The sequence below is a fragment of the Homo sapiens genome, chromosome 9 (assembly GCF_000001405.40).
Source record: "Homo sapiens chromosome 9, GRCh38.p14 Primary Assembly".
NCBI lineage: Eukaryota > Metazoa > Chordata > Mammalia > Primates > Hominidae > Homo > Homo sapiens.
The window spans coordinates 67,662,957-67,677,212 of NC_000009.12; the positions used below are offsets into that span (position 1 = coordinate 67,662,957).

At 42.7% G+C, this 14,256-nt stretch overlaps 1 long non-coding RNA gene across 1 annotated transcript; it reads left to right on the plus strand.

The window, feature by feature from the left end:
• Positions 1 to 7,307: 7,307 nt before the first annotated feature.
• On the plus strand, positions 7,308 to 11,833 carry LOC105379453 (uncharacterized). Its single transcript, XR_950695.1, has 2 exons — positions 7,308 to 7,347; positions 11,653 to 11,833. It is a non-coding gene; the product is annotated as an uncharacterized LOC105379453 (long non-coding RNA).
• Positions 11,834 to 14,256: the final 2,423 nt, after the last annotated feature.

Consider the following 14,256-nt stretch of genomic DNA (forward strand, 5'->3'; position numbering starts at 1 on the left):
ACGTGTGCCTCCACACCCAGCTTACATTTATCTTTAAACAAGGGTTTGACGTCTTTCTGAAATATATTTCTGTGAAGACCTGTACCCTCAGTGATATGGCAGGCTCATTTTAGACCACTGAGCACTTTTGTCTCTGGACTACAATTTGCCCTTTGTGACCTGCTCTACTAAAAAATTCAAGTGTAATTCAAGTTAGTTTACCCTCTGCTGATCAGGGGAGATTGCTCTCGGTGCAAGTTCAAAACAGGCACTCACACTTTCATTCATACCCCAAATCTCAGCATCACACAATACACCCATGTAATAAACCTGCAAAGGTACCCTCCGAAATCTAAAATGAAAGTTGAAATTCATTAAAATTTTAATTTCATCTTATTACAAAACAAAGATAAATTTACTGCTTTCCAATTTTGATATATATATTATACTGACATACACACTGTATTCTATGGTGAATTATGTTGATTGAATTTCACATTTTAAACTAACACTGAGTTACTTTGAAAAACTCTATTGGGTGATAATGTATTATGTTTTTAATATATTTTAATATAATTTGAAAATATTGTTTTAAAATTACATCTATGTTCCATAAATAAATAAATATGTAAAAATAATAAATGTTTGTATTATTCAAGTGAAGATTATAGCAATATTTTTGAATATCTACTTAATCTCAACTAGTTTTAATTCAGAAGTAGCAACTCCATAGAAATTCAGCTTATTACTACCTTATTACTCATACTTGTCTCCTTGAAGAAGCTTCATTGCTATCATCCAGTTTAGACTGGGATGTCATAAATCTCTAGACTGAGTAGTATAATATCCACTGTACAAATAAAATCAAATTATTATTATAATGTTATGACACCTCCAAATACAAAAAGCAAGCCCATGGATGTCAGGTTAAGGTATAGAGACAAATATTCCTACTTACTGTCTTTTAGGGCAGACATATCCCAGCCAATCTGATTGCAAAATGAAATGGAAACCATATGGTGGAAGGGGACTTGGGACTCACACAGATTGGATTTTCATTCCAACCCTTACATACACAAGCTGCATGACTCTGGGTAGATTGCATATTCTCTTAGACTTTCAATTTCCTCATCTGTGCAATGGCAGTTAATGCTTATGGGCTATGGCTGATGTGGGGATAAAAGAACCAACATGGATGCATGGGCAGGGCCTGGTCCATGGAGCAGCTGGCATCAATAAATGGAAGCCCCTTCCCATCTTGTCTTTGCGTGCACCACAAAATCTGGAATATGTGGGTATAAAAAGTACTCTTAAAAGAGACATAATTGGAAACTTTTGCAAAAAGAGATTGGAAAGGTGTCACATCTTGTGGCATGAGGAGCTGTGGGCATACACTTGAACTTTGTGCTGTGAGATATCCACAGAACTTCAGTAGCTGAAGAGAACAGTTTAGATGTCATCTTATTCATCTACCATAGAACTTCCTCTTCTTCTCTGAGATTTCTAGACAATAACTTTTACAGCTCTAATAATGCAGTTGTCTCCCAATTGTTTGGACTATTCTAATAGATACAAAGCAGTATTTCACCAGCAGATGCTACTGCAGTTTGTATGATGATTTCAAACTGAGAATCTATTTAAAGTTATGCAATACTTTTTTTTGGAAATAGGGTGAAAGTAGTTTAAGTTTAAAATCCTATAAAATAGGTTTACAGTAAATAATTACTTGTTGCAATATCTATCATACTATCTTATATTCACACATGTGTTGGTGTCCTAATACATATGTATGAGAGTGAAAGTTACCTGAGGTCAGACACTGTGCCATATGTTCCCTGCACCACTGGTGCCTATTTCAGCACATGATATACAGTAGATGCTCAATAAATACTTTCACTTAAAAAATGCACTGAGAATAAATCTTATTAGACATCAAAATACATATGAGTACAATCTAGGGACATGGTCAGGAGCTCAAAATTCAATCTTATTTATTTTTTATTTGGAGACAGAATCTCACTCTGTTGCCCAGGCTGGAGTTCAGTGGCATGATCTCAGCTTACTGCAACCTTCCTCTCCTGGGTTCAAGTGATTCTCCTGCCTCACCCTCCAGAGTAGCTGGGATTACAGGTGCACACCAACACACCTGGCTAATTTTTTTGTATTTTTAGTAGGCACAGGGTTTCACCATGTTGGCCAGGTTGGTCTCAAACTCCTGAGCTCAGGCAATCTGCCCACCTTGGTCTCCCATAATGCTGGGATTACAGGTGCCAGCCACCACGCACAGCCACAAAATGTTTTAAAGTAGCTTCAAAACCCATTTGCAAATAGATGTATTCATAACAAGCTGCAAACAAGAAAACATTGAGCTTCATATAATAGAAGGATTCTGCCTGGATTTGCATGTGGCCCCATCATTTGTTTGCTGTTGGGCCATGGTCAGGTTACGTAGCTGCTCTCTGCCTCCACATAGGCTTTATGCCTGTGTATCCCTCATCTACAAAATGGGAATAATAAGAATATCTAACAGTTAGAAGTGGAGAAAATATATGTAAAGACCTTTGAAAAGGGCTTATGAAAGCTCAATAATTGTCCTCAATAATTGCTCTCAATAATTAATTATCAGCTATCATTCAATAATAATCATAATCATGAAAATGTATGACTCAAAGAAAGATTCTGACTTCATATCCAGCTTCCCAAAAGAATCAGACACTGGACCTGCGAAAAGAATGACATTGAGATGTATTTTCACATTGCTAAGTTGGTTTTTTCTTTGCCATTCAATTTCTGCAGTCCCTACTCTAAGCCCATGGTCCACCTTTTTATTTTTCCTCCTAAGATGTCTTCCCTTCTTGTAAGATTTACTTTTCCTTAAAAAGGGCCCTTTTCATCCACCCACTCTTTTGCCCTTCCCAGAAGTTGGTTAATGGACACAAAAATACAGTTAGATGGAAGGAACAGAAAAATTTCTAGTGTTCAATAGCACAGTAGGGTGATGATCATTAACAATAACTTATATATTTCAAAATGAGTAGAGGAAAGATGTGGAATGTTCTCAACACAAATAAATGATAAATGTTTGAGGTGATGGATATGCAAATTATCCTGATTTGATCACTACACATTGTATGCATGTATCAAAATATCACATGTACCCTACAAATATGTATAATTGTCATGTATCAATAAAAATAAAAAGGCCTATTTCTCTTTCCTTCCTCCCCGGATTCCCTCCTGTCCCAGATGTGTGTTGTTCCTGGTGCTCTCCTACCCCCCGTTCAGCCAGCACTGAGCCAGCAGGAAGGATCTCACAGGTCATATCCTGAGATCAACCCTCCACCACTTCAGGTAATAATCCTTCTGCTTTTAGTCATTTATATCCTTTGGTTCATACATATTTTGAGTCAAGTACCTTCTAACTACTGATCTACATAATATTCCTTGGTTTTTAAAGATAATACAAAGTGGATTTTAGTAACAATCTTGAGTCACCACAGAAGCTAATGAAGTTGGGGATTCCACAAAGCCATCCAAGCATATAAAGCCCATTTCCTTGGGTCCCTTTTCCTTAGCTCAAGGCCACAAAAAATCAGAACGTAAATTCCAGCCCACATTTGCATTATGTCTAAATAATTATGAGTTATAAATGAAGCTAACAAATAGTTAAATATGTTCTATTCTCCTATTTCGATAAATATACTGCCATAATAACCCACAAGGTCAAAGTTGAGTGTAGAATTCTCTGATTTCTTGGTGCTCTGCACAGGAATGTGGTAGTAAAGGGAGAGCTGATCATCAGCCCCAGGCTAAACTTTTTTCTTTCATCGTAGGTAGCCCTGTCCTCACTTGAGAAGCTTTGCATACCCTTGTGTGGGGAACTCCCTAGGCCCCATGCAAGCTCCATCCACAATTCTCACCCCTTCAGAAAGCAGATCCTTGGGCACCATTTGGACAAGCACAGTTTGCACTTTGAAATGGACCCAGGGAAGAGGCCATGCAGGCTCAGGCACATTTTGCCAGGTCCCTGAGTGCCCAGCATGTGCCCTAGAAGAGAGGGTGAAGCTCTGAGTGGGCCAGGGTACAGTCAGTGGAGGGCCAGAGAGGCACCTTCTCAAGTGCAGGATTCAGGGCAGGGGTCCTCTTGCCCAGATCGATGGCTATGATTGCTTAGTGCAATGGCGCCTGCGTCATGTTTTCTCAGCTCACCTTTCATTCAGTCTCAGACACCGTGAGAAGTTCCATGGAAGCACAGGCTTCTCTTGTGCTGCCAGCAAACTCAAGGTACACTTTCTGCCCTAGGGAATCTCCATTATTGTACGATTTTGCCTGAGCACAAATACAGCCCAGAAACACTTGCAGGTTAACAGCCTCAGGGGAAGACCTCAACCAGTGTGGGACAGGTGGACAAATGCTCCAGGCTCATGTTTCAGGTGGGCATTTCTGGATAACTTTCCGGAGCCTCTCGGAAGGTCCTGCAGAAAAAACTGCATGGCAGGAGCCTCAATAGCATGCCATTATTTTGGCTTTTCTTTCTTGCCTGGCTCACTCTTCCCACTTCTGACTCTTGCTTCTTGGAATCACTTTCCAAATAAACCACCCACACCGAAGTCCTTACTCCAGCTCTGCTTCTAGGGATACAGGCACACCTTGGAGATATTGCAGGTTTGGTTCTAGGTAACACAATAAGGTGAATGTCACAACAGCGCAAGTCACACGAAATTTTTTGCAAGTCACACGATATTTTTTGCTTTCTGGTGCATATAAATGTTATGTTGCCAGGCATGGTGGCTCACGCCTGTAATCCCAGCACACTGGGAGGCCGAGGTGGGTGCATCACCTGAGGTCAGAAGTTCAAGACCAGCCTGGCCAACATGGCGAAACCCTGTGTCTACCGGAAATACAAAAATGGTGGTGCGCACCTGTAGTCCCAGCTACTCAGGAGGCTGAGGCAGGAGAATTGTTTGAACCTGGGAGGCAGAGTTTGCAATGAGCCAAGATTGCACCACTGCACTCCAACCTGGGCAACAGAGCCAGACTCCATCTCAAAAAAAAAAGTTATGTTTAAGTTACTGTAGTCAATTAAGTGTGCAATAGCATTATGTCTAAAATATAATGTATATACCTTACTTTGAAAATACGTGATTGCCAAAAACTGCTAACCATCATCTGGGCCTTCAGTAAGTCATCATCATTTTGCTGCTGGATGGTCTTGTCTCAATGTTGATAGCTAGTGACTGATCAAGGTGGTGGTTGCTGAGGGCTGGAGAGGGAGTGGCAATTTCTTAAAATAAGATGACAATGAAGTTTACTTCATTGACTGACTCTTCCTTTCACAAAAGATTTCACTGTAGCATGCTATGCAGTTTGGTAGCATTCTACCTACAGTAGAATTTATATCAAAATTGGAACCAATTCTCTCAAACCCTGCCACTCTTTTATCAACTAAGTTTATGGGATATTCTAAGTCCTTTGTTGTTCTTTCCACAATGTTCACAGCATTTTCACCAGGAGTAGATTCCATCGCAAGAAACCACTTTCTTTCCTCATTCATAACAAGCAACAATAATATAGTATTTTATATATGTTATATATGTATTATTATATAATATAAATTATATATTATATAACATTATATAATAATATATAATATTATATATTGTATATTATTATATTAATTATATTATATAATATTATATATTGTATATTATTATATTAATTATATTATATTATATATTTTATCATAATATAATATGTATTATAATATATATTATATAAGCAGAAATGATATCCCTTGGTTTTTAAAGATAATACAAAGTGGATTTTAGTAACAATCTTGAGTTGTCACAGAAGCTAAGGAAGTTGGGGATTCCATGAAGCCATCCAAGCATATAAAGCCCATTTCCCTGGGTCCCTTTTCCTTAGCTCAAGGCCACAAAAAATCAGAACATGAATTCCAGCCCACATTTGCATTACGTCTAAATAATTATGAGTTATAAATGAAGCTAACAAATAGTTAAATATGTTCTATTCTCCTACTTTGATAAATATTCACAGTATATTATGATAAATATATTGCCATAATAACCCACAAGGTCAAAGTCGAGTGTAGAATTCTCTGATTCCTTGGTGCGCTGCACGTGAATGTCGTAGTAAAGGGAGAGCCGATCCTGAGCCCCAGACTGAACTTTTTTCCATCTAATTCCATTTATTTCCATTAAGATTGCAGCAATTTGGCCGGGTGCGGTGGTTCATGCCTGTAATCCCAGCACTTTGGGAGGCTGAGGCAGATGGATTATCTGCAGTTGGGAGTTTGAGACCACCCTAACCAACATGGTAAAACTCCTTGTCTACTAAAAATACAAAATTAGCTGGATGCAGTGGCACATGCCTATAATGCCAGCTACTCAGGAGGCTGAGGCAGGAGAATCAATTGAACCCAGGAGGCGGAGGTTGTGGTGAGCCGAGATTGCGCCATTGCACTCCAGCCTGGACACCATTGTTGGTTTTGCCATCACCCCATATGCCTCCGGTGACACACATTCACACCATCTGCTGTGGGATACGCCAGTGCCACGCGTGATCGCATTGTCTCCACCTCGGCTTCGCACCATCCCTGTTTGCACCTGTCCTGGAAAGCGGTGTCCGCTTGCAGGAGCCCCAGGGCTTTTAGAAGTGGGGCACGCCACTGCTCTTTCAACGGAGGAGGGAGGCAGAGGGCTCACAGATCAGTGAACTTTCAGCTGACACCACGCCTTGAGGGCCATGGGATCATTCTGTGCTGCAGCGACGACCTGCCTGCCTCACCAGATGTGCTGAGCCCATCTTTTCTAACCCGGAGGGGTCAAAACTAGGATCTGAAGAGGAGTCCTGAGAACCCAGCAGGCACCCTGAAGATCCCCCTCCATCGGCGGAAGTCGGCTCAAGGATGTCTTGAAGATTGGACTCCTGGGGGTTTGGCCCTGGGACAGGATACTCAAGGACTCCTCTCCCACCCCGCCCCAAACTGGACCTCAGCCCCCACGCCACAGCCCCCACTTTCTCCCCAGAGCTGAGGGACAGACAGAGAATTGCGACTAGAAATTCGATCGATTGGTACGAGGGAACACGTGGCCAGGGGCTGGCCAATGACCAGGCCGCCCGGGATGAGCTAATAATGGAAGCAATTTGTAACTTTCAGTAGCTCTCTAGGCCTGGGTACCGGAGGGAGGGAGGCGGGCAGAGGAGGGGAGATGGGCACCCCCAGTCTTTCCATCCTCCTCATTCGTCTAGGGGCACCCGAATCCCCTATTCCTTATTTCCCCTATCACTCAGGCACTGGCAGGGTCTTTTGCCCACTCCTGTTGGCCGCTGCGGCTCCAAAGCGAGGTAAGCTGGTCCTCTACCCCTCAAACTCTTCACAACCCTCATCCCGTTTACTAGCACCTGCAAACCACAGCCTCCCTTCTTGTCCCATTAGTGAATTTAAATCGGATTTTGTTTTTCCTCTTAGTTGAAAGAAAAATAATCTTTTTGTATTCTTTTGCGTAACCTATCTCGGATTTGGAGAAAATTTTAATTCAAATTAATACGCTTATATTGGGGGGGTGAGTGGTACTTTCCTCCTTTTCAATAAATTTCTATACTTGCTACTTTATGGAGAGTTTACTTTTCTTTGGGGATGAGTTACACCTTATGTTTTCACATGTGTTACTTCTTTAATGATAAGTTCAACTCTTTTCTCCATTCCATCCTCCAATTTTGCTATTTATAAATATCACCTAATGGATTTAGAGTTTATTCATTTTTCTCCTCCCTCACTAGTTTTTCAGCTGTTACAGAATCACCACAATTTATTTTTCTCTGTATGTGGATGAGGTTTTGTGTTGATTCCTATTTTGTTTTGTAAATGAATTTATTGTTTGGGAAACTCTTGGGGGATGTGTGTGTAACAAAGGTCTCTTGATTAATTCCAACCTCTCCTCTTCTGAAGAACAATTTGCTTGAAATGTTTTGAGTATTTTCCTCATTTTTATTATGTCTAAATTTGAGGTATTTTACCTTCTTTAAAACCTGGCCTCTTTTTAAAATTTAACCTTTTGCATGTTAAACCATTTTTAAGGTTTTTATTTTATAAACTGCAATGATTAGTAGATTTACTTGCCTTTCCCTGACCTCCTTCACACGCCTGCCTCCTCCATCTCAAAACTCCCATCCCCAGCTTCCACAATTCTCAGCTTCCAATGGACTCATCCTCCCCTCTCCTCCCAGCCAAGGAGGGATGCCTGGGAAGTAGACAGTGTCCTTCTTGGGTCAGAACCTATGCTCTGGTTCTAGTTCAGGACACCTCCAGTCTGACCTCCAAGCCGGCAAAACGAGTGAGAGAAGAATTTCTGCTCAACTTTTTCATTTGGGACTAAGTTCTTTCCACTTGGCTGTATTCTGGAGAACTCTGATACATGAAATTGAATTTTAAATTCTCATTTTTTCCCTAAATTCTAAGAAAAGTGCAGGCAGATTGTTTTTCTTCCTTAAATGTAAGCTGTTAGCTTAGGGGTCAGCCCTTTGGGTCTTTTATCTCCTGAGGGAGACTTCTCAGAGAGACACACAGTGTTGATTCTTCCTTTTAGTTTTGGGTAAGGTAGAAGGGGCAGGGACTGGGGAAGCCCATATTGATCTCTGGCTCTAGCTCTGAACAAAGAAGGGTAGAGAGCTGGCCTGGGGACTTGTCCCTTTGGTCAGTAAGGTTTGGCTTAGGAGAGAGTTTGAAGTAAATCCCAGCTCTGAGGAAATTCTTCTTTTTAGCATTACTGTGAAAATAAACTCTTAAAATGGTGTGACATGGCGTCAAACTATTCAGATTCCTTGAAGTAACAAAAATAAACTTACAAGAGTAATTTATGTTTCCCAAAGATCCGCCTCCAGTGACTGTCCATTTCTCTCAGGGAAACAGAACCCAACTGGGCAGAAGTAAAACTGCCACCCCTCCCCTTTCAGTTCCCCAGTCACATTGACATTCTGGGCACATTTGGCCCAGCCCTCATCCCTGCTTCTCCCAAGTATGAATCTAAATTACTATTAATAAGGGGCCGCTCCAAGTTAATTGGCATTAAAAGAATTCATTTCAATTTGTTAATATTAAATGAATGCTCTGCACTTTAGCTCCCTTCTTCGCCCTGGATTCCCAGATGAGTGATGGGAAGAAGGGGCAGGGAAGTAGAATGAGGATTTTATTTCTGGCTCTCCAGCTTAGCCACTGTGGTGCCTCCCCTGGGGGTGTGCAATCAGGCACAGTGGGGGCCTGCTTGGGGAAGGTCTGATGGTCTTTTTTGGTGAAATTCATCTGTTTTAGCAGGAGTTGTGGGGGAGGGTGGGTGGGGAGCAGAGGGAGAGGGACAGAATGGTTTGGGGGACTTTGTGGGGAGCAGAGGGTCTAGGGAGAAAGTGGGAAGGGAAAGGGACGGAGGTCAACAGGAGTTTTGGAGAACAAGGGTTGTAGGCTGTGGGGGGTAAAGCCGATTTGTGAAGAACTGGTGATAGGAACTAAAACAACCCACCTAGAAGGGGAGGGGCTTTGAGCAGGGGTGGGGAGGTGGGATTTGAGGCAAAACAGCTAGGAGTTCTGAAACTATTAATATCTAGCTGTGTGACTCAGGGCAAGTTGCTTAACTTTTCTCTCTGCCTTAGTTTCTTGACCTGTAAAACAGGGATACCAATAATAGAACTTATCTCAGGGGGTTATTTGGAATTAGAGGAAATACATGCCATGTGTTTTCCACAGTGCTTGACACATAGAACCTGCCAGTAAATGTTAGCTCTTTTTATGGCAGAGTGGTTAACAGGATGGATTCTGGAGCTAGACGGCCTGGTTTTGAATCTCAGTCATGCCTTATGTGAGTTGTATGACCTAGGCAAGTTACTTAACCCCTTGTGCTTTAGTTTCCTTGTCTGTAAAATGGGGTTAATAGTACCTAGCTCAAAGGCTGCTGTCAGGATTAAATGAGTTATATGTACGAAGAGCCTGGAACAATGCCCATCCCATAGGAAACACTATGTAAGCATTAGTTGTCACTGATATTGTTGCTCTTCTGATCTAGGAAGGTTGAAAATAGAGGCACAGGTGAGCTACTACTTACAGGCTAAGACTGGAATCAGATCAACTCTTTCACTCCTATCCCTGAAGCTAGTCCTGCAACTGGGGCTGCATATGAGGGCTTGGGGAGAGATCCTATAACCCTGGAATCTGGGATATCCAAGTCCTTCCTCTGCTCTAGCTCTTGGGTTGGTGGTCCCTCCAAGACCCATAGACTCGAAGTCACTTCTTTTTCCCTCAGCAGGGTTGGGGTGGGGCTGGTAATGGGAGAATTACTTTCTTGGTCTGATAACTCCCTTTAGTAGAGAGTTAGTCCTGGGAGTGTGAGTTGGGGGAGGTTGGGTAGAGCAGAGGAGATTAAATATCCTTTATGTACCAGCCCACACACACTTGACCTCACCAGAGGGTTGGGAAGACAGAGATTCAAAGAGGGGAAGTGATCTGACAAAGTCCTAAAGCTAGAACTTGGCAGAGTTGGCATGTGAACTCTGATCTGCTTGATGGCAAACTTAAAGCCCTTCCATTGCTGCATGCTTTTTGAAGGGAGAAATGGGACACGTGTAAACTTGGGCCAGGACCATGGGGTAGATGGAAGATGGGCGAAGATAGAGTATTGGAGTGGGAAGTGGCCAAGCAGGAATGTTTCAATCATGGAAGATTTCCTGAGAAAAGAGATTCCACATCAGGGTTCAGATGGTAGGGGAATGAGGATAGGAAGTAAAGAAGAGGGAGGGAGCCATGCATTGACAAGGAAGGAGAAGAAAAAACAATTTATGCAAAGGCTGGGTCAGAGTAATGGACATGAATTCAATTTGCCTTGGGTTTGCCTTACCATTTATTGAAGGCATACTATGTACTAGGTACATACATGATCACATTTGATGTTCACAACAGCCCTGACAAGTGGGTTTCTTATCCCTATTTCCAAAAGAGTTCATTGAAGTTCTGAGAGCTTAATCCCCGCTTTAGGTTACACAGTAGTAGCTGGATTTCCTGGCATCAGAACCCTCACCTACGCTGCCTCTGAGCATGGCTTCTGTGCCCCAGTCTCAATTTCCATGACTGTTTCAAGTCCTCCTGTTCCCCCGCATTTGTAGTCATTCTTGGTGACTGGGAACGAAGGGCTAGAGCGTGAGCTGAAACTGAGACAGGGAGTGGCAGGCAGGCAGTGGGGACAGAAACTTTTCTCAAATCCACCCATGTGAAGAAGATGGACAGAAGGGTGGTCTTTCTGGAGAGAGGCTTCCAAGCCACTTTCCCAAGAAAGACAGCTGATCTTGGGATAAATGGCAGGGACCTGATTGGGTAGGGGATGGGTGGTCACATTGTTTTCTGGGCTGTAGACTTTATTTCCCTTCCTTTGGGAAGAGAAGAGGAAGAGGACAGCTCAGGTGTGGGTTTGAGCCCTGGATTAAGACTGCCCATTGTCCACTAAAATCTCTTCTTTCCTTGCTGCACGAGGGTGGAGGGACACCCAGCTGGACACTCCATTTCCCAGCTGCTCTTATTGCCAGGTGTAGACACAGGGGAATGTGAGGTGAGCATGTCCTCAAAGCCTGACGGATTGGGTAAATTCTCCTTTGTGTTCTCTCTTTCATGAGCTGGGCAGATGTGCCTGAGACAGGTTTGACCAGGCAACTGAAAAGACATCCCTAAGAGAAGACAAAGCAAAGGTATGAAAGGAACACACGTCCCTGACTGACTAGGAGGAACAGAGCTGCCTGCTATCTGGAACAACTTCCTCCCAGACTAAGTGAGAAATAAACTTCTGTTTTCTATATGCTACTGTGTTTGGGGGCCTTTGTGTTATAGAAGTTTTGCTGTCATCCTTTCCAATTCACCTTCTCACACCAGATATTTCAAATTAAGAAGATTATATCAGGCCAGGTGCCATGGCTCATGCCTGTAATCCCAGCACTGTGTGGGGCTGAGGCAGGTGGATCACTTGAGGCCAGGAGTTCGAGACCAGTCTGGCCAACATGGTAAAACCCCATCTCTACTAAAAAATACAAAAATTAGCTGGACACAGTGGCACACTCCTGTAATCCCAGCTACTTGGGAGGCTGAGACAGGAGAATTGCTTGAACCCAGGAGGCGGAGGTTGCAGTGACCCGAGATCATGCCACTGTGCACCAGTCTGGGCTACAAAATGAGATTCTGTCTCAAAATAAAAAACTGATTACATCAGATCACGGAATAACTATAATAATATTTATTGGGCCAGATAGTATGCAAAGGACTCTATGCACATTATTTAGTGTAATCTATGTGACAATCCTCTGAGATATGTGTTACTATTCCAATTTAAACAAGAGGAAACAGGTTCAAGGAAGGTAAGTTATGTGCTGAGGGACACACAAGAGGGGGTGGAGCTGGATTTCAAGCCCACTGGGTGTACAGAACTGAGCCTCTTCACCATGGGGGCAAATCCCTCCTGAGGACAGGGCTGGAAAGGCCATGGAGATCATCTTGTGCTTGGACAAGCCTCTCACCAGTCACCACAGGGCCCTGACTCCCATTCCTACCTTCAAGAAGCTCAGCAGGCTACTACTCGTGTTCATGTTGGGTCACTACATACGGTTTTATTTGAAGGAAGGACCCCAGAGTTAAACTCATTTGAAAACCCCTGATAAATTCAGTCCCCTCCCTCTTTTTACAGGTGAGGCCCGGAGAGAAGATATGACTTGCTTAAGGTCACACACTTAGTTTCTCTGTCAATCTTTCTAAATCTAGGACGAGTTCTCTTCCCACTGTATCAGGCTGCCTCAACAAACAGGGAAGTACAAAAATAGCCAAATCCAGGAAGGAGGGCAAGTGGTCTGTGTCTCCTCCAATTATTTCATGGGACAGCCAAGCCTATTTTCTTGATTTCCCTTGTGCCCCTCCTGTCGGATATCTGCTTTGGGACCCATCTCTTTTGGGCTTGCAGAGAGAACGGGCTGCACCAGCTCTCTACCCTCTGCATCACCCAGATGGTCAAACATGCAAAGGGAAAGGAGAGCTGGGGCCAGAGTCAAGGCAGGCAAAGAGACTCCTCAACCCCCTCCAGTCTTTCCACATTTATATTTTTGGAATTTCAGGCTCCCTCCTCCCCCGGGACCTTTCCTAGTAGCCCACCAGGGAGAAGAAGAGGGAAAACTGTCATAAATTTCTCCTATTTATACAAGATGACAGAGTTTCTTGTGCCAGAAAAAACACAGAAAGGGAGCTGTCAGGGGAGAAGGGACCCAGCCCTATATCTTCTGGGGTCAATTTATCTTTCTGAATCATGGCTTGGGGGCTACCCTAACATTGCCTGTATGAAATGCAGGCTTTGACTTGGGGCAGCCAGGCCAGACAGCCCCTGAGCTTTGTTTCTGATCACAGTTTTCCTGCTTCATCTCAACTTCCCCCTACCCCTTACGCTGTCTTTTTAAAAAACAACCTTCTTGAGGTATAATTCATGTGTCATACAATTCACCATTTGAAATGTACAATTCAATGGTTTTAGTATATTCACAGGTATGCCAAACCATCACCATAGTTAATTTTAGAACATTTTCATCACCTCAAAAAGAGATCTTGTAACCTTTAGCTATCACCTCCCTATCCCCCCATATTCCTTCTTGCCCTTAACAATACTAATGTACTTTCAGTCTCTGTAGATTTCCCTATTCCGGACTTTCATATGAATGGCATCATATAATAAGAGACCTACTGTGACTAGCTTCTTTCATTGAGCATAGTGTTTTCAAGGTTCATCCATGTTGTGGCATTTATCAGTACTTCATTCCTTTTCAAGGCTGACTAATATTCCATTGTATGGATATATCACACTTTGTTTATCCGTTCATCTATTGGTGAACATTTGGGTTTTTTCCACCTTTTGGATATTATGATTCTCTCTTTCCTCTTATTGTCTAGACATCTTGGATAGTATCCAGTGAGGCCTGTGGGCAAGAATGGGTGTTTCTTATATTTGGGAACACCTAATATCCATGAAAGCAGGGTCTTGGCACATGTCTGCTTTCGTATTAAGTACATGTACTAGCTGGAATTTTCCTCCCTCTGTTGTTACTGAGTTGGGGCTGCTCCCTCCTTTATCAATTCTCCCTTTTTATCATGATTGCTGTGTTGGAAACTTGCTGACTCTTCAGACTAGGGGATTCAGATCCTTCTCTTGGGGCTTCAGAGACATGGAGTGGATGAATGAATGACTTCCCATG